Source organism: Homo sapiens, chromosome 17 (assembly GCF_000001405.40).
Source record: "Homo sapiens chromosome 17, GRCh38.p14 Primary Assembly".
NCBI classification, from domain to species: domain Eukaryota; kingdom Metazoa; phylum Chordata; class Mammalia; order Primates; family Hominidae; genus Homo; species Homo sapiens.
Window position 1 is genome coordinate 81,487,180 of NC_000017.11, and position 26,292 is coordinate 81,513,471.

At 55.1% G+C, this 26,292-nt stretch overlaps 1 protein-coding gene across 3 annotated transcripts, besides 8 other annotated features; it reads right to left on the bottom strand.

Annotated features, from left to right (window-relative positions):
- Positions 740-1,019: a silencer, noted in NCBI's record as "silent region_9127". NCBI's record gives its function as "represses an Ori minimal core promoter by ATAC-STARR-seq in GM12878 lymphoblastoid cells {active_cell/tissue: GM12878}" and the evidence as "EXISTENCE:reporter gene assay evidence [ECO:0000049][PMID:35858748]".
- Positions 1,342-2,062: an enhancer, noted in NCBI's record as "H3K27ac-H3K4me1 hESC enhancer chr17:79455547-79456267 (GRCh37/hg19 assembly coordinates)". NCBI's record gives its function as "activates a minimal SCP1, AML or CMV promoter by ChIP-STARR-seq in naive H9 embryonic stem cells {active_cell/tissue: H9 hESC(naive)}" and the evidence as "EXISTENCE:reporter gene assay evidence [ECO:0000049][PMID:30033119]".
- Positions 2,784-3,503: an enhancer, noted in NCBI's record as "H3K4me1 hESC enhancer chr17:79456989-79457708 (GRCh37/hg19 assembly coordinates)". NCBI's record gives its function as "activates a minimal SCP1, AML or CMV promoter by ChIP-STARR-seq in naive H9 embryonic stem cells {active_cell/tissue: H9 hESC(naive)}" and the evidence as "EXISTENCE:reporter gene assay evidence [ECO:0000049][PMID:30033119]".
- Positions 6,192-6,693: an enhancer, noted in NCBI's record as "H3K4me1 hESC enhancer chr17:79460397-79460898 (GRCh37/hg19 assembly coordinates)". NCBI's record gives its function as "activates a minimal SCP1, AML or CMV promoter by ChIP-STARR-seq in naive H9 embryonic stem cells {active_cell/tissue: H9 hESC(naive)}" and the evidence as "EXISTENCE:reporter gene assay evidence [ECO:0000049][PMID:30033119]".
- Positions 12,714-13,437: an enhancer, noted in NCBI's record as "H3K4me1 hESC enhancer chr17:79466919-79467642 (GRCh37/hg19 assembly coordinates)". NCBI's record gives its function as "activates a minimal SCP1, AML or CMV promoter by ChIP-STARR-seq in primed H9 embryonic stem cells {active_cell/tissue: H9 hESC(primed)}" and the evidence as "EXISTENCE:reporter gene assay evidence [ECO:0000049][PMID:30033119]".
- On the bottom strand, positions 22,792-25,620 carry ACTG1 (actin gamma 1). 3 transcript variants are annotated; one of them, NR_037688.3, is made up of 7 exons: positions 25,555-25,620; positions 25,053-25,181; positions 24,724-24,963; positions 24,009-24,447; positions 23,748-23,929; positions 23,300-23,654; positions 22,792-23,150 (listed from the first exon to the last, which is right to left on the bottom strand). NR_037688.3 is itself a non-coding variant. In NM_001614.5 (6 exons), the coding sequence occupies exons 2-6, from the start codon at positions 25,173-25,175 to the stop codon at positions 23,511-23,513; spliced, it is 1,128 nt and encodes a 375-aa protein (NP_001605.1). In that variant the 5' UTR covers positions 25,176-25,181; positions 25,555-25,620; the 3' UTR covers positions 22,792-23,510. The 3 variants fall into 3 exon arrangements, 2 of the variants coding, with proteins under 2 accessions (NP_001605.1, NP_001186883.1); NM_001614.5 differs by having other exon boundaries at positions 22,792-23,654; NM_001199954.3 differs by having other exon boundaries at positions 22,792-23,654; positions 25,436-25,620.
- Positions 25,066-25,155: an enhancer, noted in NCBI's record as "active region_12964". NCBI's record gives its function as "activates an Ori minimal core promoter by ATAC-STARR-seq in GM12878 lymphoblastoid cells {active_cell/tissue: GM12878}" and the evidence as "EXISTENCE:reporter gene assay evidence [ECO:0000049][PMID:35858748]".
- Positions 25,376-25,545: a silencer, noted in NCBI's record as "silent region_9128". NCBI's record gives its function as "represses an Ori minimal core promoter by ATAC-STARR-seq in GM12878 lymphoblastoid cells {active_cell/tissue: GM12878}" and the evidence as "EXISTENCE:reporter gene assay evidence [ECO:0000049][PMID:35858748]".
- Positions 25,746-26,225: a silencer, noted in NCBI's record as "silent region_9129". NCBI's record gives its function as "represses an Ori minimal core promoter by ATAC-STARR-seq in GM12878 lymphoblastoid cells {active_cell/tissue: GM12878}" and the evidence as "EXISTENCE:reporter gene assay evidence [ECO:0000049][PMID:35858748]".

Genomic DNA, 26,292 nt, shown 5'->3' on the forward strand with positions numbered 1-26,292 from the left:
TCGGCTCACTGCAACCTCTGTCTTGCCCAGGCTCAAGTGATTCTCCTGCTTCAGCCTCCCGAGTAGCTGAGATTACAGGCGTGCACCAGCACGCCCACCCGGCTAATTTTTTTTTTCTTTTTTTTTTTTGTAATTTCAGTAGAGACGAGGTTTCACCGTGTTGGCCAGGATGGTCTCGAACTCCTGCCTGGGGTGCTGGGATTACAGCCGTGAGCCACTGTGCCCAGTCAAAATATTTTTTATTTACCTCCAACCCCACCACCTAGAGATGACCACTGCTCATTTTTGTTGATGGTATTTGGCAACAGGCTTGTCTGCTTTCTAAGCACTGTTGTTTTGTTTAGAGACAGGGTCTCCGCTCTGTGGCCCAGGCTAGAGCGCAGCGGTGCAATCACGGCTCACTGTAGCCTCCACCTCCCAAGCTCAAGCGATCCTCCCGCCTCGGCCTCCCAAGTGGCTGGGACCACAGGCGCGGGCCCCCTCCAGCCAAGCATTGTTTTTCTGACCCGCAGGATGGGAGCAGGGAGAGCGTGGCTGGCCGGGGGTCCACCGGGAGGCCCTGCGAAGGGCAGGCCCCGGCCAGGCGGGGCGCGGCTCCACGTCTCAGCCGGCGCTTCTGCGCACGGGCTCACTACTGGGGGCGGCCGGGATCACGGACTCGCTGGCCTCGTCTCCGGAGCGGAGGCGGGCAGCTTGAAGGAGCGACCCCGTGGGCCGGCGCATCCCTCCCCAGGCCCCGAGACCCGGCGGGAGACGGACCCTCCCCATGCCTCGCCGCGGAGGCCCGCGCCGAGCCAGGAGCCGCGCATCCATTGGCCGAGAGCGCGGCCGCCCGGGCCAATCACAGGGCGGCCCCGGCGCCCCCGGGCGCGCCGTGGGGACAGAGTCAGGCGCGTGCGCACTCGGCCCTCCCCGGCGGCCTCCAGGCGGGACGCGGCGTCGGCGCCTGAAGTTGGGGCTCCGTCCTGCCTCCCTGCGGGCCGGGAAAAGGGTCTCGCACGTGCGCCCCCCGCGGTCCGCGATCCCCAGCCGTCGGCCTAGCCCCAGGCGGGTCGATCCCGCTGTCCCCAGCCCCGGACCAGCCTCCTCCAGCTGCCGGGTGGAGAGGCTGGGGGGCTTTTCCCGAGGTCGGCGGCGAGGCTGAGAGCCCCGGCCCCGCCGCGCCCGAGGAGACAGCCCTTCGCGGGCTCTAAAGGCCCCGGGGCCTCCGGGATGTTCCGGGGCCGAGTTGTGCCTGTTGCCGTTTCCGGCGCCCGGGGCCTCCGGGATGTTCCGGGGCCGAGTTGTGCCTGTTGCCGTTTCCGGCGCCGCTGCCCTCGGGCACCGTCCCCTCTGGCCCTGCCTTGGTCTGGGAGGGGTCGCTAAGGGGGCGGAGGGCGCTCCTAGGGGGCCCTGCGGATCTCCTGGCCTCGGCCCCCCCGGGTGGCCAGAGCGGGGCTCTGCACAAAGGCCTCAGGTAGCCGCGGCCTCGGTTCCGAGAAAGCCCCTCGCACTGACCGGGCCTCAGCTGACCCGGGCAGCCTACTGACCCGACCCTGACGCCCGGGCCCTCCAGGCCTGTCAGAGCCTCCAGGAAAGGAAATGGGCTGCGGGGCGCAGCGAGGCTGGACAGCGGGCGCTGGCCCAGGACTCCCCTTGCCCAGAGGAGAAAATGGAGGCTGAGCCTCCGGAGAGCCCAGCTCGATGCCAGGAGCACTTTGCAGAGGGACACGGATGGGGGCTGGCAGCACTTCACCCCTGTGCGGTAACGGAGTAACCGGAGCGCACTGAAGTCAGCAGCACCCCCACCCACCCACCAAGGCCACCGCCACCTCCCACCATCCCGACCGTCCTTTGCTCCCTCAACCCTTGTTGCTGTGGGGCTTGGGGATATGTTGGATTCTCACTGGCCCGGAACTTTGCTCCCCGAGGGCCGCCTGGCTGTAGAGCAGAACCCCCAAGTCCTGGAGAGAAGGGCAGAGGCCGGCCGACCAGGAGCTCTGCAGAGGAGCAAACTCTGGCCTGCGGACCCAGGGCTCTCACCGGCATGTAAACCTCTGTGGTTCACGAGGCTTGGCGCACCATGCTCTCTGCAAACTGGGCCTCATACCACCTGTCTGCCCTGCACCTGGAGAACTGACAGCCTACCCGCCCAGCACTGGCAGCAGAAGCTAAAGCATTCCTGGAACCCACAGGCCCCCAGCTAGCCTGACCCCCTGCCCCAGCCCCCCACGGCCCTGGCCTGGCCTCCCTGCAGCTCCCGGAATGCACCCAGGCTGTGCTGGCCCCAGGGCCTCTGCGTGCCCATCCCTCTGAGGGCTGCTCTTCTTCTTGCTCTAGGCGCCTCCATCTTCTCCCACAAATCTTTGCTCACGTGTCTTCTCAGACAGCCCCCACACCCCTGTCTAAATGTTCAGTCCCCCTCCCCCGCTCCTCGGCCCCCTCAAGCCCAATTCTTGCTTGGGTTCTGGTAGCTGGTGCCCCCTTCCCTGCTGCTGCGGACCTGAGCTCTTTCTGCCCCTCTGTTTCCTGCTGCATCCTGCCTGGCTCCCAGGAGGCCTCTCTCAGCATTTTCTGACAACAAAGCCGGGGCTGCAGATCCCTGGTGAGATTCCAGGCTAGCATCAGCACTCCTCTCCCGCACGCACCACAGCTAAAGCACACAAGGGCACCGCTGAACGCCACCACTCCCAGCTGCCAGAGTGCCGCATCCGTCGGCAAGGAAAATGGGGACCCTTCCATAGAAAACAGGCAAAGACTGAACAGACATTCACAATGGCCCCAAACAAATGGAAAGAAGCTCACGCCCTCCAAAAACCAAAGAAATGCAAATTCACACAGCCAGGAAATGTCATTTCTCACCTTCCAAACTGGCAAACGTGGACCAGGGTGGTCCTGGGTGTTGGTGGGGATGCTGGCAAGGTGCTCTCAGGGAGGGAGGGCACAGCCCTGGGGGGCCATCTGAGCCTGTGGGGCACCTGTTCATGCTAAGGAATCAGGAGCCACGGCCCCCTGGGGACCCCATTAGCCTCGCTGTGGCCAGGCCAGGAGAAGCCCCTCAGTGTGAGGACACAGGAGCACTCAGCCCCAGGCAGACCCACAACCTGTTCCAGGGCCAGGACTGTTCCTTCCTGCCCCTAGCTCCTTCCCTGTCTCTCTGTCCCAGTGCAGTTAATACTGGATGTTTCTGAGTCACCAGCTGGAGGGAGTGTGGCCCTTCAGCCTGGTCAGGGGCCCCCCAGTTGGGGTGGGTGGCTTGGCTCATGACCTCGGTGGAGGGGCCCCTGGGCACCCTGCTGGTGGCAGGAGGAAGCCAGAGTGGCCCCAGAAACACTCCTTGAAGAGCCAATAAATCACAAGCCCCCTCTGCCTACCCCCTCCACATCGCCGCCTGACGTTTTTTATATTGATGCATTAATTTATCCTTAAAAATAGGCAACACTGCTTGTTTGATTTCCACAGAGGCCATGTGGGGCAGAGAGTGACAAATTATTTCCTGACCCTCGAGTAGCTGATGTAATGAGTCCCCCACACTGAAAGCCTGTGTGTCCCCGGCTCCCAGACACTCCTCAGTTTGGCTTGGGGCCACTCCCTGGTACTGGGATGTCACTAGTGCTGTCCTTGACAGGTGACCCATTTGCCTGAAGCCCGGGATGCCCATCTGTCTGGGACCTGTTTCAGGACCGCATGACCTTGCCCCCTGGGTCTCTCTTCCATGCCTTAGAGGGGGCTGGGGGCCAGGTGGGGGTGGGGGCACTGGCCCTTCCTGGGGCCTGACGAGGCTGTGACCTCGGCTCATGGGGACAGTTTGGATGCTGCTCATTCGTTTGCCTACATCGCCAGGACAGGCAGGATCTGGGAGCATCACAAAAAAGGGAGTTATTCGCAGCAAATATGAGTGTGTTCAAAAAGAAATCTGAAGTCAGTTTCCACGAGAATTCTGTCTACTCCGGACAGGCAGAGGCCACCTGAGCTCGGGACCTCCCAAGAAGGGATTCAGAGGAGCCACATTCCACTTTCTAGGTGTGACCCTCAGTCTGCTCCAAGTGGACTTGAGACATCCCAATAACAACACTGACTAGGTACTAAAACAAACACAGACAGGAGCACGTGTGCACCCCGAACACACAGCAGGGCAGCAGCCATCCAGGGTGGGCAGCCTCCCAGATGGCCCCACAGGCCTGTACCCCTGCCCTCCTGTTGGCCACGCCCCACCAAGGGAGGGTCTGTGTAATCAGTAGAGCAGGGCAGAGGCGCCAGCAGGCCAGTTTAGAGGGACACAGCACACAGCAGCTTCCGTCCTGGTTCTCTGTCTCTCTGTGTCTCTCTCCCTCTTTCTCTCTCTCTCTCTGCCTCTCTCCCTCTCTCTCTGCCTCTCTCCCTCTCTCCCTGCCTCTCTCCCTCTCTCTCTCCCTCTCTCCCTCTCCCCCTCCCTCTCTCCCTCCCTCCCTCTCCCCCTCCCTCTCTCTCCCTCTCTCCCTCTCTCTCCCTCTCTCCTTCCCTGCCTCTCTCCCTCCCTCCCTCTCTCCCTCTTTCCCCCTCTCCCTCTCTCCACCTCCACTCTCTCCCTCTCTCCCTCTTTCTGTTCCCCTCTCCCTCTCACTCCCTCTTCCCCCCCTCCCCCTCCCTCTCTCACCCCCTCCTCCTCTCCCTCTCTCTCTTTCTGTCTCCCCCCTCCCTCTCCCCCTCCCCCCTTCCCTCTCTCCCTCCCTCTCTCGTCTCCCTTCCTCTACATGGGGAGGAGCTCACTCCCTGCCAACAGCCAGGGGAACAAGCTTGGAAGTGGATTTTCCAGCCCAGCACGCAGCCTCGTGGAAGACCACCCAGGTGAGTTGCTTCCAGCGCCTCAGCTGCTGTGAGAGATGATAGATGCTTGCTGTAAGCCCCTGTGTTTTGGAGTAATTTGTTACACAGCTGTAGAGGGCCAACGCACTGCTAAAGCAGCAGCAGGAGCAGGTGTAGCCAGGCACCTAAGAGGAGCTGCTTATAAATGCCAGGGGGTGGCTCAGCCTGTAATCCCAGCGCTTTGGGGCCGAGGATGGAGCCGACCTGGACAACATAGTGAAACCCCGTCTCTACAGAAAATTAAAAAAATAAAACATTAGCCAGGCATGGATCCGATGCTTCCGTAAGGACTTTGAATCTCCAGGCAGGGACAGAGAAGACATCAGAGACTCAGGATCAACAGCAGCTGCACTGAGAGCTGAGGTCCTCGCGCTGGGTTGCTCCCCCTCCCCCACTGAGCCACTCTGAGTGCGGGCGACGCTTCCCTGGGTTCCTTCTCGCCTTCTGAGAAGGCTTCTGTCGACCTGTGGCTTCAGTGGGACCTGAGCTCATCCCCGAGACCGCCTTTTTTCACTTCGTTACCGAGGGTTGAGCGTCTGTTACTGAGGGTGGTGCGCGCCTGTAGTCTCAGCTATTCCAGAGGCTTGATGCAGGAGGATCACTTGGACGGTGGAGTTCCAGGCTGCAGTGAGCTATGATCACACCACTGCACTCCAGCCTGGGCAACAGAGTAAGACCCTGTCTCAAAAAAAAAGAAAAAAGAAAACAAAAGCGGGGAGGGGCCAGGCGCGGTGGTTCACACCTGTAATCCCAACACTTTGGGAGGCCTAGGGGGGCGAATCACGAGGTCAAGAGATTGAGACCATCCTGGTCAACATGGTGAAACCCCCTCTACTAAAAATACAAAAAATTAGCCAGGCTTGAAGAGAATCACTTGAAGTCGGGAGGCGGAGGTTGCAGTAAGCTGAGATTGCCCCACTGCACTCCAGCCTGGGGACAGAGAGAGACAGTCAAAAAAAAAAAAAAAAAAAAAAAAGTAAAACACAGGGGAGAGGAGACCTCAGAGTTGCGTGGCTTTCCTTTTCTGACCCAGGACAGCAGGGGAAGCCCCGCATTTGTGGCCAGAGCCCTGGGATAGATGGAGCCCAAACACCCTCCTCTGCATGTCTCCATTCCCTGGGGGCTGCAGGCCCGAGCTGTCTGGTCCTCCCTTCATCCATTGCACCTGGTGTTCCTTCTGCCCAGAAAATTGTTGGTCCTCCCATGTATCAGAAGCCACATGCTCACCTTCCAGGGCACTTCTGCCCACACAAGCATTTCCTCCAACATGGAAGGAGGGCCATCCCCTGCAGCAGGCAGTACTCCAGGCTTCAGGGAGCTGCCCTTCACCAGAGGGGCTGTCTGCAGACCCACGCACACGCCTGGCATATACCACGGCACTTAGTAAATGTTTGCTGACTCAGGGCATGCAGGCCAACTCTCTGGTCTCTGTTATGAACCAGAAAGTGGGGGCTGTGGTGGTAACAGGACTTATTTACACAGGTTAACAACCTGCCAATGAGGTAGGAACCTTCCACCACACTGATTAAGAAACTGAGGCACAAGGAGGTTGTATAACTCGACTCAGATTGCACAACTATTAAGTGGCAGAGCCAGGACACAATCCAGGTAGGCTGGCTCTGCATCTACACTCAACCACTGCACTTGCTGTTTTCCTGGAACAAAACCACCTGCTTGTCGGGTGCCTCCCTCCATCAGCGCCTGGACCAGGACATCAGCCATGTGCATGGTGGGCCTGGAGCTGCCCCACGCCCGCCAGCCAACCAGGTCAGTGCGGCCTCCCCTCCATCATGATTGGTTCAGGCAATCCAGGCCTCAGCCAATCAGAACAAAGCTCTGGTCCAGCTCGCCTGGAGCGCCTGACTTCTGCACTTTCCCAGCATGGCGGCCTGGAGATGTCTCACTCACTGTTGCCCAGGCTGGAGTGCAGTGGGGCAATCTCAGCTCACTGCAATCTCTGCGTCCCGGGTTCAAGCGGTTATCCTGCTTCAGCCTCCCAAGTAGCTGGGATTACAGTAGGTGGCTCACGCCTGTAATCCCAACGCTTTGGGAGGCCTAGGCGGGCGGATCACGAGGTCAGGAGTTCGAGACCAGCCTGGTCAATATGGTGAAACCCCGTCTCTACTAAAAATACAAAACTTAGCCGGGCGTGGTGGCGTGTGCCTGTAATCCCAGCTACTTGGGAGGCTGAGGCAGGAGAATCACCTGAACCCGGGAGGCAGAGGTTGCAGTGAGCCGAGATCGTGCCACTGCACTCCAGCCTGGGTGACAGAGCGAGACTCCGTCTCAAAAAATATATATATAAATAAAGGAGAAGTGAGAACCTCTGTTTGCCATAGAGCTTCGTGCAAATACACGCATTGATCCGCAGAGGCAGGCCCACGGGGTATCCAGGTAAGAACGTGGTGCTAGTGAGGAAAAAATTCAGATGCAAGCAGCAGAATACCCAACTGCAGGCGGTTCAATGTGTGGAGGCTTTTCTTCTTTTTCATGTAACTAGAAATCTGGAGGTGGGAGTTATCCCCATCGCGACCCAGACTCTTTCAGTCTTTCTGCTCCAACATCCTTGGCAGGTGGGCTTTTGTATGTTGTTTGTAGGGCAGCTGCTGGAATTCCATATACCACACACACCTCTACAGTCAAGGCACAAAGAAAGGATGGAGAGACAGGGCCAGTCACATCTGTGCCCTTTTAGAGGGAAAGACAAACCTGCCCTAGAAGCCCCTGCAGTGGATTCCCCCCAGGCCTCAACGGCCACCCATGATCGGGCATGCTATGAGGGATTCAGAGACGGCAGAGAGCCAGGTTGTCATGACAGCAATGGCCAAGCATGCTTCATTGCCAGGGTCTTGGTAGCCCTCCAAAAAGCAAAGTTCCATAGGCAGGAAAGAAGGGGAACAGATTTTGGTGGGCGGCAGGTCTGCCTGCCACAGGTGGGAAGACAAGACATGGGGAGGTTCACAGATTACGCAGGGGAGTGGGGATCAGATGAAGGGCTGCCTGGCCGGGTACAAAACCTGAGATCCTGCTGCACAGCTGGATGAGGGAAGAGCCCTGCTGCTGCTGCTGCTGCTCCAGCCCCCTCAGCAACAGCATGGATGTCACAGATGCTAGCCACCAGATGTCCACTAGCCTCACTGCCAGAACCGGTTCTATGCTGCTCCTGCTTATGGTGTGAAGACACCACAGGCTTCCAACTGAAGGTTGGAGGTGGATGCACCTGACTGGTGGAGCCTGGGCCATGTGACTGAGTCCTGACAGCAAGGGATGCTGGGAAAGTTAGTATCTACCGTTTTTCAATTTATACAGAAAGATGAGTCCTGCTTTGCAAACTGGAGATTAACTTTAGGTGAGAAGGAGATTCTTTATACATGCAGGGAGCATAAGCTGGCACAACTTTTTGGAAAGTAATGTGGCAATACATATGAGCAGCCTAAAAAAGGCTATAGCCTGTCACCCAGTAATTTCATTTTAGATAATCTCTCTTAAAATCGTAGTAGGGGCTGCCAGGCAAGGTGGCTCACTCCTGTAATCCCAGCACATTGGGAGCCTGAGGCAGGCCGATCACCTGAGGTTGGGAGTTCGAGACCAGCCTAGCCACCATGGAGAAACCCTGTCTCTACTAAAAAATACAAAATTAGCCAGGCATGGTGGCACATGCTGGTAATCCCAGCTACTCGGGAGGCTGAGGCAGGAGAATCGCTTGAACCTGGGAGGCGGAGGTTGCAGTGAGCCGAGATGGCACCATTGCACTGCAGCCTGGGGAAAAAGAGCGAAACTCCATCTCAAAAAAAAAAAAAAAAAAAAAAAGATGGTGGTAGGGGCTAGGCGTGGTGGACGCCTGTAATCCCAGCATTTTGGGAGGCCGAGGCCAGCGGATCACTTGAACCCAGGTGTTCAAGACCAGCCTGGGCAACAGGGTGAAACCCCGTTTCTACAAAAAGTGTAAAAATTAGCCAGGCAGTGTGGATCATGCCTGCAGTCCCAGCTACTTGGGAGGCTGAGGTGGGAGGATGGCTTCAACCCTGGAGGCCAAAGCTGCAGTGAGCTATGATTGCACCACTGCACTCCAGCCTGGGCAACACACTGAGACCCCCATCTCTTAAAAAAAAAAAAAAAAGGTAGTGGCTGGAGTGGTGGGAACCCTTTAACACTCATGTCATCATGACAGAGTTGATTATAACCCAATCATGTGGCAGCAACTGACTTGTCCAATGAGGAGAGTAAGTGAATCTCAGTCCAGCCATCCTACAATGAATATTTAATAACCCGGGGAAAAAACTTAAGTTCTAATGGCAAATGGAAAGATTAGGATATACCTGTAGTTGTCTTGGCAAAGTCTTACAAGGTATTATTTATTGAAAGCAACAAGCCAGTTGTGCAAACCTGCCTCATTTGAAATTACTTGGCAGGAATGTTTGGAAAATTCCTCCTATTTAAAAAAACTTCCCCTTGAAAATTAGGAAAAGCCTTAAAATGAAAATACCTGGGAGAAACCTAAAGATGGTTGGCTGAGAGCTTTGAAAATGTGGACATTCCCAGACAAGTTCATAATGATGCCATAAATAAGAATGCTTGCAGCCCGGCTCAATGGTTTATGCCTGTAATCCCAGCACTTTGGAAGACTGATGTGGGAGGACTGCTTGAGACCAAGAGTTCGAGGCCAGCCTGGGCAATATGGTGAGACCCCATCTCTACAAAAAAATTAAAAATTCACCGAGCATGGTGGCTCACACCTTTAGCCCCAGCTACATGGGGAGGCTTGAGCCCAGGAGGTCAAGGCTGCAGTAAGCTATGATCATGCCACTGCACTACAGACTGGGTGACAGAGTGAGACCCTATCTCAAAAAGAAAAAAAAAAATGGAGGCCGGGCATAGTGGCTCATGCCTGTAATCCCAGCACTTTGGAAGGCCAAGGTGGGCAAATCACTTGAGATCAAGAGTTGGAGACCAGCCTGGCCAAAATGGTGAAACCCCATTTCTGCTAAAAATACAATAAAAATTAGCCAGTTGTGGTGCCACATGCCTGTAATCCCAGATACTCAGGAGGCTGAGGCAGGAGAATCGCTTGAAGCTGGGAGGCAGCTATGTCAGTGAGCCAAGATCGTGACACTGCACTCCAGCCTGGGCAACAGAGTGAGACTCCATCTCAAAAAAAAGAAAAGAAAAAAAAATGAACCATGGACATAAATGTAAAATGCAAAATTATAAAAGTTCTAGAACAAAACATAGGAGAAAATCTACATGACCTTAAATTAGGTCATGAGTTTTTTTGTTTGTTTTTTGTTTTTGTTTTTTTTTTGAGATGGAGTCTCAATCTGTGTCCCAGGCTGGAGTGCAATGGCATGATCTCAGCTCACTGAAACCACCGCCTCCTGGGTTCAAGCAATTCTCCTGCCTCAGCCTCCCAAGTAGCTAGTATCACAGGCGCTCATCACCATACTCGGCTAATTTTTGTATTTTTAGTGGAGACGGGGTTTCACCGTGTTGGCCAGGCTGGTCTTGAACTCCTGACCTCAAGTGATCTACCCATCTCGGCCTCCCAAAGTGCTGGGATTACAGGCATGAGCCACTGCACCTGACCAGGTCGTGAGTTTTTACATACAGCACCAAAATCATTATCTATTAAAGAAAAAACTGAATTGATATTATTAAAATTTAAAACTTGGGCTGGGCACAGTGGCTCACATCTGTATTCCCAGCACTTTGGGAGGCCGAGGCGGGTGGATCGCTTGAGGTCAAGAGTTTGAGACCAGCCTGGCCAATATGGTGAAACCCAATCTCTAATTTTAAAAAACACAAAAAGTAGCCGGGCGTGATGGTGCACACCTGTAGTCCCAGCTACTTGGGAGGTTGAGGCAGGAGAATTGCTTGAACCCAGGAGGCGGAGGTTGCAGTGAGCCGAGATCATGCCACTTGCACTCCAGCCTGGCTGACAAGTGAAACTCCATCTCAAAAAAAAAAAAAAAAAAGAGCACGGAAATTCAAATTCCAACACACTCTGCACCACAGGTCCGCCTTGAGGACTGTGCGTTAAGTGAAATAGGCCAGTCACAAAAGACAAATCCTGTACAGTTCCACATGTAGGAGGGACCTAGAGCAGCTAAATTCATACAGACAGAAAGTGAAATGGTGGCTGCCGGGGGCTGGGTGGAGGAGAAGGAGTTGTTTGATGGGTACAGCTTTTTGGTTTTGCAAGATGAAAGTTCTGGAGATTTTGGCTGAACAACAGTGCAGATGCTCAGTGCCCAACTGTATGCTCAAAAGTGGATGGCTGGGAGCGGGGGCTCACTCCTGCAGTCCCAGCACTTTGGGAGGCGGAAGTGGGCAGATCAGCTGAGGTCAGGAGTTCGAGACCAGCCTGGCCAACATAGTGAAACACTGTCTCTACTAAAAGTACAAAATTAGCCGGGCGTGGTGGTGTGTGCCTGTAATCCCAGCTACTTGGGAGGCTGAGGCAGGAGAATCGCTTGAACCCGAGAGGTGGAGGTTGCGGTTAGCCGAGATCATGCCACTGCACCCCAGCCTGGGCGACAGAGCGAGATTCCGTCAAAAAAAAAAAAAAAAAAAAAGAACCGGGTATGGTGGCATGTGCCTGTAGTTCCAGCTATTCAGGAGGCTGAGGTGGGAGGATCACTTGAGCTTGGGAGGTTGAGGCTGCAGTGAGCTGTGATCTTGCCACTGCACTCCAGGCTGGGCGACAGAGCAAGATCCTGTCTCAAAATTTGAAACAACTTCAAAGAAGGAAAGGAAGCTATGCCTGTTGCATACAAGCAGAATCTTCCTCGCGGCTCGGCCTGCTCCAGCCTCCCGGAGGATGAGCCTCTGACCAGGGCCGGCCCAGGTGCCACAGTCACAGCCAGTGGCCCGCAGTTCTGAGGCCCCTGGCACCGCTGAGGCGTCCCTGGAGCTTCCTCACCAGCCTCACGCATCCTGCCGGGGTGGCGGGGTCAGGGCCCACCTCTGGGCACGGGAGGCGTGGGCCTCACGGGCCACGGATGGGAGCCCAGGGCAGGGGGCTGGAGCCCTCGGGGGTCAGAGCCCGTGCGCCTTCCAGGGCGGAGGCGGTCAGCCGATGGACCAGGCGGTGCCGCAGCGACAGAGGGGGTTGAGATCGGGGCTTTCCCCTGCGACCAGCTCGCAGCCTGACGTCGGCCTCGCTCTGGGGAAACCAAGGCACGGGCACGCGCGGGCGTGGCGCCAACGTCCTCGCTGCCGGCCCCGCCTCGCCCGGGACAGCGCCCCGGCCCTGCTCCCCGCTCTACGGCCCCGCGCCCCGGCCATCTGCGGCTCCTCTTGCTTCGCGCCCGCGCCGCGCTCTGCCCACGCCCAGCCCCGCAGCTTCTCTGTGACCCCCGCCTGCCGCACCCCGGCTAGGGGCTTATTAGCGCCACGGAGCTGAGCTGGACGTGTCCAGGATCTGGGGAGGGAGCAGCCCAGAGAGGGCAGGGCCTGGCCAGGCCTCCCCAGGCAGCCCTGCGGTCCTGCAGCCACGAGGGGAGGGGACGCCACAAATCCGGGTGCCGACCCGGGCCAGGAGAGTCGGGAAATGGGCCTTGGCTGGGACCCAGGCCGACTCTGATCCCGCGGGCCTCGTAGCCCCTCCAGCCCTCGGCCATGCAAAGTGGGGGTCCCACGGGATGAGCCCCAGTGTGGGAGCCCAGCTCGGACAGACATCACCCCTCAGTCCCCCGACCCTCCGCCCCAGGAGAGAAGCTGGACGCTTGCCTGGGCGACCAGGTCCAGGCCACCCTAGGCAGTGAGGAGCAGCAGGGGGCCATGGCGAGAGGACAGGGAGGGCCTCTGTTGGGCCTCGGAGGTGGAGACCCCACTGCTGAGCCACAGCTGGGGCATGCATTGGCTTTCTTCTGAGCATCTGTCTGGGGAACCGCCGTGGGAGGAGCAGAGCCCCTCGGGCACTGGTAGGGAAGCCAGGCTGCCAACAGCCCTGCCACCCTGGCTGCAGGTTCTGGAGCCGGGGACCCTCTAGGCTGAAGTTCTCCAAGTGGGTTGAGCCCAGGTATCCGTTTATCCTAGGTAGGCCTCCATGCCTGAAGGTCCCGGGCTCCTCTGGACCACCCGTCCTGCCAGGGGGCAGACAGGCCTCCTGTCCCTTCCTGTTCTGTTCTGCTCCCTAAACTCCAAGCTAAGTGTGTCCCTGGGCAGCTGGGTCTTAAGAGCCTGAAAGGCTGCATGGAGTCTGTTTGTTCGTTCAGAGGAATCTCAGCTATTTCCTGGGAGGCTCCATCTGAGCCTGGTAGGTCCCGGATGAGGGGTGGGTGGCCCGGTGAGCAGGTCAGCCTGTCCTCAGGGGCTTGCAGCACACCCGCCAGGGTGGCAATTATCCAAAATATAGAAAACAAGTGCCACTGAGGATGTGAAGCAACTGGAACTCTTGTCCACTGCCGATGGGAATGCAAGATGAGGCAGCTGCTGTGGAGAACTGTTGGTTCCTCAGAAAGGTGCACAGAATGACCCTATGACCAGCAGTCCACGCCGGCCACAGACCCCAGAGAACTGCAGGCAGGCCCTGGAACACATACTTCACAAGCAGAATGTAGTATAGACATATACTGCAGTATTTCTCAGCTTTAAAAAGGAAGGGCCAGGCACGGTGGCTCACGCCTGTAATCCCAACCCAGAGGGTGAGGCAGGTGGATCACTTGAGGTCAGGAGTTGGAGACCAGCCTGGCCAACATGGTGAAACCCCGGCTCTTCTAAAAATACAAAAATTATCCAGATGTGGTGGTGGGCACCTGTAGTCCCAGCTACTCAGGAGGCTGAGGCAGGAGAATCACTTGAATCCGGGAGGCGGAGGTAGCAGTGAGCCGAGATCGTGCCACTGCACTCCAGCCTTGGCAACAGAGTGACACTCCATCTCAAAAAAAAAAAAAAAAAAAAAAAAAAGAGAGACAGAGGTTGCAGTGAGCCTGAGATCACGCCACTGCACTCCAGCCTGGATGATGGAGAATCTGTCTCAAAAAAAAAAAAAAGGAAGGAAGGTGTGGTGGCTCACATCTGTAATCCCAACACCAACACTTTGGAAGGCAGAGGCAGAAGGACTGGTTGAGCCCAAGAGTTGGAGACCAGCCTGGGCAACATGGCAAGACCCCATCTCTATAAAATAAATAAATAAATAAAATTGGCCGGGCGCAGTGGCTCATGCCTGTAGTCTCAGCACTTTGGGAGTCCAAGGCAGGCAGATTGCTTGAGTTCAGGAGCTCGAGACCAGCCTGAGTGATACGGTGAAACCTCGTCTTTCCTAAAAATACCAAAAAATTAGCCGGGCTTGGTGGCATGCACCTGTATTCCCAGCTACTCAGGAGGCCGAGGTGGGAAGATCACCTGAGCCCAGCCAGTGACTGAGCTTGCACCACTGCACTTCAGCATGGGCAACAAAGTGAGACCCTGTCTCTAAAAAATAAATAAATAAAAGTAAATAAATTAAATTAGCCAGGCGTGGTGGCACACGCCTGTGGTCCCAGCTACTCCAGAGGCTGAGATGGGCAGATTGCTGGAGTCAGGGAGGTTGAGGCTGTGGTCAACTGTGATTATGCCAGTTCACTATGGCTTATGTTACACTGCAAGACCCTGTCCAAAAAAAGAAAAAAAAAAAAAAGGAAGAAAATTGTTGTTTAATAGATATAGAGTTTCAGTCGGCATGGTGGCTCACGCCTGTAATTCCAGTACTTTGGGAGGCCGAGGTGGGAGGATTGCCTGAGGTCAGGAGTTTGAGACCAGCCTGGCCAACATGGTGAAACCCTGTCTCTACTAAAAATACAAAAAGTAGCCAGATGTGTTGGTGCATGCCTGTAGTCCCAGCTACTTGGGAGGCTGAGGCAGGAGAATCCCTTGAACCCGGGAGGCGGAGGTTGCAGTGAGCCGAGATCGTGCCACTGCACTGCAGCCTAGTGACAGAGCAAGACTCCGTCTCAAAAAAATAAAAGAAAATAGTTGTAGAGTTTCAGTTTGGGAAGATGAAAGAATTCTGAACATGTGGTAATAGAGGCACAGCTTTGTGACGTAATGACTGTACACTTCAACACCATTAAAATGATCAATTTTGTGTTATGCATGTTTTACCATAATCTAAAACAAATTTTTTGGGGGGCTGGGCGTGGTGGCTCACACCTGTAATCCTAGCACTTTGGGAGGCCAAGGAGGGTGGATCAACTGAGGTCACGAGTTCAAGACCAGCCTGGCCAACATGGTGAAACCCCATCTCTACTAAAAATATAAAAATTATCTGGGTGTGGTGGTGGATGCCTGTAATCCCAGCCACTTGGGAGGCTGAGGCAGGAGAATCGCTTGAACCCAGGAGGCAGAGGTTGCAGTGAGCTGAGACTGCACTATTGCATTCCAGCCTGGGCAACAGAGCAAAAACTCTGTCTCAAAAAAAAAAAAAAAAAAAAAAGAAAGAAATTTTTTTTTAATCCTGCATATCGGGGAGGGAGATGGACGAGTAACAGAGGGTGGAAGTGGAGGAAGGCGTGCTTCCCGGGAGAGGACTGGGCTGTGTGGGGATGCTGTGGACGGCTGCACAGGTGGTGCACTGCACAACTGCAGGGGATGCCATTCACATAGACCATGATGCTGCATCATGTGTGAAGTATGCACCACGGCAGTCCTCTCTGGAGGGCACCCTGAGAAGGGCCGCCAGCAGGGAGCTGGACAGCACGGGGACACATCCTTTCCAGCAGGAAAGGATTCCAAACGACCACCAGCAGGCGGGCAGGCCAAGCATAGCTGAAGGGAGCCATGGGAGGCCACGAGGTGCTCTGTGTACAGCAGGCAGCCCCAGCACTTGGCCCACGTGCTGCACAGAGGAAAACACCTGCCCACAGCTGTCTCTGGCTCTGATGTTTAGGACCCACCTCCAACCAAGCAAGGGTCCTGTAAGTCAGAAAATCTCTCAGTCATCGGAGCCAGGATTTGCCAACGTGAACCACTGAACTTCCCCCTTGGTCTCCATCCTCTATGAAAACATGAAAGGGGTTTGAAATTGCATCCAATAAACACAATGTCCATCTCCTGCCGGGGAAAATTGGTCTGGGTAGAGGGATGCCGGTGGTGTGGACAGGCTCTGAAAGCTGCAGGAAGGCTCGGCTTGGAGAACATCCTCCACCTCTGCCTACCATCAGGACCCAGGGATCCTGGGGAAGGGGAGCCCTTTCAGGAGTGCCCTGAAGTCCCCCAGCACGTGTGACACTTCTCAGAGCAGGCATCCCTTCCAGAAGTTTCTGTTAACTAAGCTGAATGGCATTTAAGATATTGAAAACAGGCTGGGCGCGGTGGCTTACACCTGTAATCCCAGCACTTTGGGAGGCCGAGGCGGGCGGATCACGAGGTCAGGAGATCGAGACCATCCTGGCTAACACTGTGAAACCCCGTCTCTAGTAAAAATACAAAAAATTAGCCAGGCGTGGTGGCGGGCGCCTGTGGTCCCAGCTACTCGGGAGGCTGAGGCAGGAGAATGGTGTGAACCCAGGAGGCGGAACTTGTAGTGAGCCGAGATCGCGCCCCTGCACCCCAGCCTGGGCGACAGAGCGAGACTCCATCTCAAAAAGAAAAAAAAGGAAGGATAGAATTAGAAAACCATTAACCAGGCGTGCTGGTCCTAGCTACTAGGGAGACTGAGGTGGGAGGATTGCTTGAGCCCCTGAGGTCAAGGCTACAGTGAGCCTCTATTGCCACTGCACTCCAGCCAGGGTGACAGAGCAAGACCCTGGAAAGAAGAAAAGAAAGAAAGAAAGGAAAGAGGAAAGGAAGAAGGAAAGCAAGCAAGAAAGAAAGCAAGCAAGAAAGAAAGAGGAGAAAGAAAAGAAAGAGAGAAAAAAGGAAAGAAAGAAAAAAGAAAAAGAAAGAAGGGAGGGAGGGAGGGAAAGAAAGAAGGGAAGGAAGGAAGGAAGGGAGAAGAAAGGGAGGGAGAAAGGGAAAGAAAAGAAGAAAAGAAAAGAAAAGGCCAGGTGCAGTGCCTCATGCCTGTAATCCCAGCACTTTGGAAGGCCAAGGTGGGCAGATCACCTGAGGTCAGAAGTTCAAGACCAGCCTGGCCAACCAACATGGTGAAACCCTGGCTCTACAGAAAATACAAAAATTAGTGGGGCATGGTGGTGGGCACCTATAATCCCAGCTACTTGGGAAGCTGAGGCAGGAGAATCGCTTGAACCCAGAAGGTGGAGGTTACAGTGAGCCGAGATCACACCACCGGACTCCAGTCTGGGCAACAAGAGCAAAACTCCATTAAAAAAAAGAAAGAAATAGGCCAGGCGCAGTGGCTCACGCCTGTAATCCCAGCACTCTGGGAGGCCGAGACAGGCAGATCACGAGGTCAGGAGATCAAGACCATCCTGGCTAACACGGTGAAATCCCATCTCTACTAAAAATACAAAAAAAAAATTAGCCAGGCGTGGTGGTGGGCGCCTATAGTCCCAGCTACTCAGGAGGCTGAGGCAGGAGAATTGCTGGAAACTGGAGGCGGAGGCCGCACTCCAGCGGCGAGAGAGTGAGACTCCATCAAAAAAGAAAGGGAGGGAGGGAAGGAGGGAAGGAGAGAAGGAGGGAGGGAGGGAGAGGAGGAGAGGAGAAAAGAGGGAGGGGAGGGGAGTGGAGGGGGAGAATAATTTGTAACCACTAATGAAATAGCAGGTCCTGGCAGGGATTTCCAATGGCTGCTAATATCACAACATCAGGCTCTGTGGGACTCTTTCCCTCTCCATGAAGTTGCACCCACCCTGTGGTCATCTTCTTGCTAAAAAAATCAACCTGAATGAGATTAAACAGACCAGTTTGGACATTTACACCTAGAGCTAACTGACTATAGGAAATATAAGGGTTGAGGAACGTGCCACATCAACCACAAGGACGAAATCAGCAAAATCCAGACAGGTGGAACCCTTTGGAACAAAAGACCTGCCTTCTTCCACAAATAACCTGAAAGGAGAAAAATGAAAGAGGGTAAATCCCGCGGTTAAAAGAGATTTAAGAGACATAGTGGCCAAGTGCAATGATTGGAAACCAACCGTTAAAAGAAATTTAGGTGGGTCGCGGTGGCTCACGCCTGTAATCCCAGCACTTTGGGGGGCCGAGGCGGGTGGATCACGAGGTCAGGAGATCGAGACCATCCTGGCCAACACGGTGAAACCCCGTCTCTACTAAAAATACAAAAAAAATACAAAAAAATACAAAAAAAATACCCCGTCTCTACTAAAAATACACCAGCCGGGCGTGGTGGTGGGCGCCTGTAGTCCCAGCTACTCGGGAGGCTGAGGCAGGAGAATGGCATGAACCCAGGAGGCGGAGCTTGCAGCGAGCCGAGATCACACCACTGCACTCCAGCCCGGGTGACAGAGTGAGACTCCGTCTCAAAAAAAAAAAAGAAAGAAATTTAAGGCTGGGCATGGTGGCTCACACCTGTAATCGCCACATTTTAGGAGGCTGAGGTGAGAGGATCTCTTGAGACCAGGAGCTTGAGACCAGCCTAAGCAACATAGGGAGACCCCATCTCTACAGAAAGTTTAAAAATTATCTGGGCATGGTGGTGCACGCCTGTAGTCCCAGCTACTCAAGCGGCTGAGGTGGGAGGATTGCTTGAGCCTAGGAAGTCGAGGCTGCAGTGAGCTGTGATTGTGCCACTGCACTCTAGCCTGGGCAACAAAGCAAGACCCTGTCCCCCCAAAAAAACAGACAAACAAAACAACAACAAAAAATTTAAGACAACCAAGGAAATTTGGACATTAGATGATACTAAGTATCGATCAATAATTGGTGGGTGGGGGCATGATACTGTGATTTTTTTTTTTTTTTTTTTTTTTTTGAGATAGAGTCTTGCTCTGTCACCCAGGCTGGAGTGCAGTGGCTCAATCTCGGCTCACTGCAACCTCTGCCATGTGGGTTCAAGCAATTCTCCTGCCTCAGCCTCTGGAATAGCTGGGATTACAGGCGCACGCCACCATGCCTGGCTAATTTTTGTATTTTTAGTAGAGATGGGTTTCACCATGTTGGCCAGGCTGGTCTTGAACTCCTGACCTCGTGATCCGCCCGTCTCGGCTTCCCAAAGTGGTGGGATTACAGGAATGAGCCACCGCGCCCAGCTTGTGGTTGTTTTTTCAAAAAGAGTCCTAGGCTGGGTGCAGTGGCTCATGCCTGTAATCCCAGCACTTTGGGAGGCCTAAGCAGGAGGACCATTGAGTCCAGGAGTTCAGCCTGGGCAACATAGTGAGATGCTGTCTCCAAAAAAAACACAAAAGCAAACAAACAAAAGGCCATGGAGGAGGCCAATCCCCAGCTGTGCTGAGCCAGGATCAGATTCTCTCAGCCCCTTTCAGCAGCACCTGTCCTCCTCTGAGTCAATATATTGCTGTTGCAGCCGGGCGCGGTGGCTCATGCCTGTAATCCCAGCACTTTGGGAGGCCGAGGTGGACGGATCACCTGAGGTCAGGAGTTTGAGACCAGACTGACCAACATGGAGAAACCCCATCTCTACCGAAAATACAAAATTAGCTGGGCGCGGTGGCGCATGCCTGTAATCCCAGCTACTTGGGAGGCTGAGGCAGGAGAATCGCTTGAACCCAGGAGGTGGAGGTTGTGGTGAGCTGAGATTGCGCCATTGCACTCCAATTGGGCAACAAGAGCGACACTCCATCTCAAAAAAGAAAAAAAAAAGAAAGAAAAAGAAAAAGAAATATGGAACATAAAAGTTACCATTTTAATCGTTTAAAAGTGTACAGGCCAGGCGCAGTGGCTCACACCTGTGATCCCAGCACTTTGGGAGGCCGAGGCAGGCAGATCACCTGAGGTCAGGGGATCAAGACCATTCCGGCCAACATGGTGAAACCCCGTCTCTACTAAAAATACAAAAATTAACCAGGTACACAGGCACACGCCTGTAGTCCCAGCTACTCGGGAGGCTGAGGCAGGAGAATCGCTTGAACCCAGGGGCCAGAGGTTGCAGTGAGCCGAGATCACACCACTGCACTCCAGCCTGGCAACAGAGCAAGACTCTGTCTCAAAAAAAAGTGTACAATTGGCTGGGTGCGGTGGCTCACGCCTGTAATCCCAGCACTTTAGGAGGCCAAGGAGGGTGGATCACCTGAGGTCAGGAGTTCAAGACCAGCCTGGCCAACGTATCGAAATTCTGTTTGTATTAAAAATACAAAAATCAGCTGGGTGTGGTGGCACACACCTATAATCCCAGCTACTTGAGAAGCTGAGGCAAGAGAATCGCTTGAACCCAGGAGGCAGATGCTGCAGTGAGCTGAGATTGCACCACTGCACTCCAGCCTGGATGACAGAGCCAGGATGGTCTTGTTCTCCTGACCTCGTGATCTGCCAGCCTCAGCCTCCCAAAGTGCTGGGATTACAGGTGTGAGCCACTGCTCCCAGCAGTTTTTTTTTTTGTTTTTTTTTTTTTGAGACAGGGTCTTGCTCTGTCATCCAGGCTGGAGTGCAGTGGCTCAATCACAGCTGACTGCAACCTCAATCTCCCCAGGTTCAAGTGATCCTCCCACCTCACCCTTCTGAGTAGCTGGGTTACTACAAGCGTGTGCCACCAGGACAGGCTAATTTTTTGTATCTTTTGTTGTGGGATTTTGCCATGTTGCCCAGGCTGGTTTTGGACTCCTGGGCTCAAGCGATCTGCCTGCCTAAGGCTCCCAAAGTGTTGGGATTACAGGTGTGAGCCATCATGCCCTCACTGTCACTATTTTCCTTTTTTTTTTTTTTTATTTTTTGTGGCCATCCTACTGGATGTGAAGTGATATCTCACTGTTATTTTGATTTGCACTTCCCTAATGATCCCCTGATGATGTTGAGTATCTTTTTCATCTCCCGGTTGGCCATGTGTATATCTGCTTGGGAGAAAATAAAGTCCTTTGCTCATTTTTAAATTGGGTTCTTTTTGTTGTTGATTTGTAGGCGTTCTTTACATATTGTGGATACTAGATCCTTATCAGACATAATTTTGTGGGGTTTGGGGTTTTTTTGTTTGTTTTTGAGATAGGGTCTCACTGTGTCACCCAGACTAGAGTGCAGTGGCTCAATCACAGCTCACTGCAGTCTCAAACCTCAAACTCCTATCAAGAGATCCTTTCTCCTCAGCCTCCTGAGTAGCTGGGACCACAGGCAGGCCACCACCATGCTCAGCTAATAAAAAAAAAATTGGGGCCAGGCATGCTGGCTCACACATGTAATCCCAGCACCTTGGGAGGCTGAGGCGGGCAGATCACGAGGTCAGGAGATTGAGACCATCCTGGCTAACACGGTGAAACCCCGTCTCTACTAAAAAATATGAAAAGATTAGCTAGGTGTGGTGGTGGGCACTTGTAGTACCAGCTGCTGGGGAGGCTGAGGCAGGAGAATGGCATGAACCCGGGAGGTGGAGCTTGCAGTGAGCTGAGATCACACCACTGCACTCCAGCCTAGGTGACAGAGCAAGACCCCATGTCAAAAAAAAAAAAAAAAAAATTGGCTGGGTGCGGTGGCTCACGTCTGTAATCCCAGCACTTTGGGAGGCCAAGGCAAGCAAATCACCTGCGGTTGGGAGTTCAAGATCAGCCCGAGCAACATGGAGAAACCCCGCCTCTACTAAAAATACAAAATTAGCTAGGTGTGGTGGCGCATGCCTGTAATCCCAGCTACTCGGGAGGCTGAGGCAAGACAATCGCTTGAACCCAGGAGGCGGAGGTTGTGGTGTGAGCCAAGATCACACCATTGGACTCCAGCTTGGGCAACAGAGGGAAACTGCGTTTCAAAAAAAAAAATTTGTAGAGACAAGGTCTTGCCAAGTTGCCCAGGGAACCTGCACTGGGCAGTTCCGGAAGAGCTGCAGCTTTCAACGCTTCGAGAGTGCGTGACTGTCCCTGGTCCCCATGCCCTGGCCAGTGCTCAGAACTACCCATCTCCTGATTTCTGCTCATCTGATAGCCACAAACTGGCATCTAATTTGTTTTAATGTGCATTTGCTGATGCCCAGTGTCCATGAGCATCTCACAGTTTGTCCTGTAAGTGCAATGCTTCACAGGACAAAGAGAATTTCTATCTTTTGCAGGTATCAGAGTCGCTGAGAAGAGTCATGCTGTGATGTGAGGTCACAGAACAAGGTAGGGTGGGAGCCTGGAGCTCAGTAAGCTCTCTGCAATTTATGTTTGCCTCCACCCCGACCCCCACCAAGCTTGAGCCTCCTCTCCCCCATCCCCATATGGGAGGGGGAGCTAGGAAGCACCACCACCTCTGCTTGAGTAAAATCTCTTCCAACAGCAGAACGATCCCTTGACCCGACTTAACATGAAATAGTTCCAAATCTCTTTTCAACTGGTAGAGATCTTCCTTCCCTGTCCCAACCTCCAAATGACTTCTGCAGCTGTAAGCAGTTCAGAGGAGCTATGCATTGGACTCCCAATCCCATCTACAGAGGCTCTCCCCTGGCACCTGCGGGGAGAAAAGCTGAAGTACAAAGGGCACTGGCTGAGCCTCTTACACCAGGTGAGGCCCTCGTTATTGGTAGATACTGAGTTCCAGGATTCAGTAACTAGCCAACTCCATGACTGCTGCGCTCTTTACACAAAGTAAAACTATCTCATATCACACGTCCACCTGAGGGCTGGGGGGAAACTAAGGCAGGCCCCTGCTGATTCAGGTGGTTATTTTATGCCAAATATTTACCCAAGATGTCAAGTCATCTAGTTTTTCCTAAATAATGGAAAAAGCCGTCTCAGGACTTCCCTCCCAGCCTGCTTATGATGTTGCTTCAGTTATCTCCAACACCCAAACCCACTAGGCTGCCTTGTTCTTGCACTTTCGATTTGGAAGAAATCGAACTGCTCAGTTTATTGTTAAGCCGTTTTCTCACCAGCCCACGAAGCCAAGCTGAGCAGCACCCACCGCCCCCACCCCCAAGACTACCCAATACTTCCAGGTTGGTCTGTCTTTCCCAGCCCACTTGCTACTTCCCCAAACAGGAGCCATTCATTGGTTACGGCAGCACTTTTATTTTTCCTTACACAATGACGTGTTGCTGGGGCCTAATGTTCTCACATAACAGTAGAAAACCAAAATTTGTTGTCATCTCTTCAAAGAATCGAGAATTGCGTACAAAAAAAACCTTACATAAATTAAGAATGAATACATTTACAGGCGTAAATGCAAACCGCTTCCAACTCAAAGCAAGTAACAGCCCACGGTGTTCTGGCCAAAGACATCAGCTAAGAAAGGAAACTGGGTCCTACGGCTTGGACTTTCCAACCCTGACAGACCCGCAAGACAAAACAACTGGTTCTTGCCAGCCTCTAGAGAAATCCCAGAACACTCAGCCCTGACACGTTAATACCCTGCACAGATCAGAGGCTGCTGGCCACACAGACTCACCAAGCCACAGACTTGTCTTCCACAAGCACGTTCTTACCTTAGCCACGAAGTGACCAAGCCACACGTACTAAAGGTTGAACTCAAAGATATGTACAGGGTATTAAACAAATACCAAGGGGAACAGTTAACTTCAATACAAGGTCAAAATCAGCAACAAGTTCTACAATCCAGTGCTGATATCAGATACAAGCTTCAAGGACAATTTCTTTTCGAAGGCTTATTCCAGTTTCGTGAGGCTAGCATGAGGTGTGTGCATTTGCCAGGGGCAAATTTCTATTCTCAATTAACCCATGCAGCAAATGCTACGCATCTGCTGAGTCCGTTTAGAAGCATTTGCGGTGGACGATGGAGGGGCCCGACTCGTCGTACTCCTGCTTGCTAATCCACATCTGCTGGAAGGTGGACAGTGAGGCCAGGATGGAGCCACCGATCCACACCGAGTACTTGCGCTCTGGGGGTGCGATGATCTGCAAAGACAGCCAGGCACGGCTTCAGCTCACAGAGCGCCCCCCAGTCAGCTCTCCCGAGCCAGGCAGAGGGCCACCAACCCCTCGACTCACCTTGATCTTCATGGTGCTGGGCGCCAGGGCGGTGATCTCCTTCTGCATCCTGTCGGCAATGCCCGGGTACATGGTGGTGCCGCCCGACAGCACCGTGTTGGCGTACAGGTCTTTGCGGATGTCCACGTCACACTTCATGATGGAGTTGAAGGTGGTCTCGTGGATGCCGCAAGATTCCATACCTAGGGGACAGAGCCCTCCCTTAGTGATGCTGTGTCACCGAGGATGTAAGAGTAGAAACCTTTAGCTCACAACACCTACCCAGGAAGGAAGGCTGGAACAGCGCCTCCGGACACCGGAACCGCTCATTGCCAATGGTGATGACCTGGCCATCGGGCAGCTCGTAGCTCTTCTCCAGAGAAGAGGAGGATGCGGCGGTGGCCATCTCCTGCTCGAAGTCCAGGGCGACGTAGCACAGCTTCTCCTTGATGTCGCGCACGATTTCCCGCTCGGCCGTGGTGGTGAAGCTGTAGCCTCGCTCAGTGAGGATCTTCATGAGGTAGTCGGTCAGGTCCCGGCCAGCCAGGTCCAGACGCAGGATGGCGTGGGGGAGGGCGTAGCCCTCGTAGATGGGCACCGTGTGGGTGACCCCGTCTCCAGAGTCCATGACAATGCCAGTGGTGCGCCCAGAGGCGTAGAGGGACAGCACGGCCTGGATGGCCACGTACATGGCCGGGGTGTTGAAGGTCTCAAACATAATCTGAGAAGGGACAAGGGGCGGCTTAGTCAGGGACAGAGACCCACGGCCACCCCATGCTCACACGCCACAACATGCTGCATGCCAGTGTGATGTGTGGAGAAAAGAAAAGAACGCAGGCAGAAACCAAATGAGAAACCTGGAGGCTTCAGGGAGGAAATGCCGGGAGAGGAACAGAGCCTGGAACAGCGAAAGAAACACTTAAATGTCAGAAATCAAGCCGGGCAGAAAATGACTGGGGAAAGGACGGGAGGAGCACGGGCGTCGGCCGAGCCTCACCTGAGTCATCTTCTCTCTGTTGGCCTTGGGGTTCAGGGGGGCCTCGGTCAGCAGCACTGGGTGCTCCTCCGGGGCCACGCGCAGCTCGTTGTAGAAGGTGTGGTGCCAGATCTTCTCCATGTCGTCCCAGTTGGTGACGATGCCATGCTCAATGGGGTACTTCAGGGTCAGGATGCCACGCTTGCTCTGGGCCTCGTCGCCCACGTAGGAGTCCTTCTGGCCCATGCCCACCATGACGCCCTGCAGGGGACGACCCGTCAGCCTCGCCGGCGACACCGAACCCACCCCGCAACGCAGAACCCAGGAGCCCCGCGGCGCCATCCACTCACCTGGTGTCTGGGGCGCCCGACGATGGAAGGAAACACGGCTCGGGGAGCGTCGTCCCCAGCAAAACCAGCTTTGCACATGCCGGAGCCATTGTCAATGACCAGCGCGGCGATCTCTTCTTCCATTGCGACCTGCCCGGAAAAGGATGGACTCAGGCGGGCGCGTCTGTAACACGGTCCCCTCCCCACAGCCACCTAATGCCCTCCCGCGGGGAAGCCTCGGCCCTGCCCCAACCCCAGCGGCCGTGGCCTCCAAGATCGCAACCGCCTGGAACCGAAGGCCGGGCCTTTTACGTAACGTCCACGGCTCGGAAGTCTGCACTGCGGCCGGGCCCCGCCCTGGACCCCCGGCGCCCCCCCAGCCCCGTCCGCCTGACCCGGCCCACCCCGCCTTTTGTTCCCGGGGAAGGCGCGACGAGGCCTCGGCAGCTGGAAGCGGGGCCAGCCGGGGTCGGGGGGCGCAGGCCTGCGACGTCCAGCTCAGGCCCCGGGGCGGGGCGCTCACCGGCAGAGAAACGCGACGGCGGAGCGGCGGAAGAACAGAGTGCGAGAGCTGGCAGCGGCGACTGAGACCGACCGCGGCCTCCCCCGCCGTTATTTAAGCGGAAGCGGCGCGCCCGCGCGGCCCGGCGGCGCGCGCGGCCCCAGAACATGTCCATATATGGCGATCTTTCCGAAAGCCGGGCACCCATTGGCCCGCCGGGCAGGGACACGTGGGGCCCCGGCCCGCCCCGCCCCCAGCCCGCACCGCCTCCCAACGGCCCCGCCCGCGCCACCCCCGCGCGCTCGCGACCCTGCGCGGGCCGGCGGGCGGGTCTGAGTTGGGGCGCCCTCCGAGGGTCGCCGGGAGGGCCGAAGGGCTGACGGGCCTGGCCCCTCCCCGGGACTGCCGCGCCGTGGGGAGGGCCCTGCTGCGCCCCGAAACTGCCTGACCCGGGGCGGGGCCGCGCCGGAGCTGGGGTGGGTCCCCGAGTCCCCGGCCACGCTGCGGGGCTTTGCTCCCTGGGACGTCCCTTGCAATCTTTCCCCTCGGGCTCCACGAGGATCTCGGGCGCCAGTGCCGGGCTGAGGAAGGGGCGCGGCGGGGGTCCGCGACGCTCTGCGTCCCTGGGCGCGGGGGAGCTCTCAGGAGCCCTCACCTCGCCCCGGTCACCATAGGAAACAGCCCGCCCGTCCCCAAGCGCAGCCACCACCATGCAGGTCCCTCCACGGGGCGCCCTGCCCCGGATCTCCGTTCGTTTGA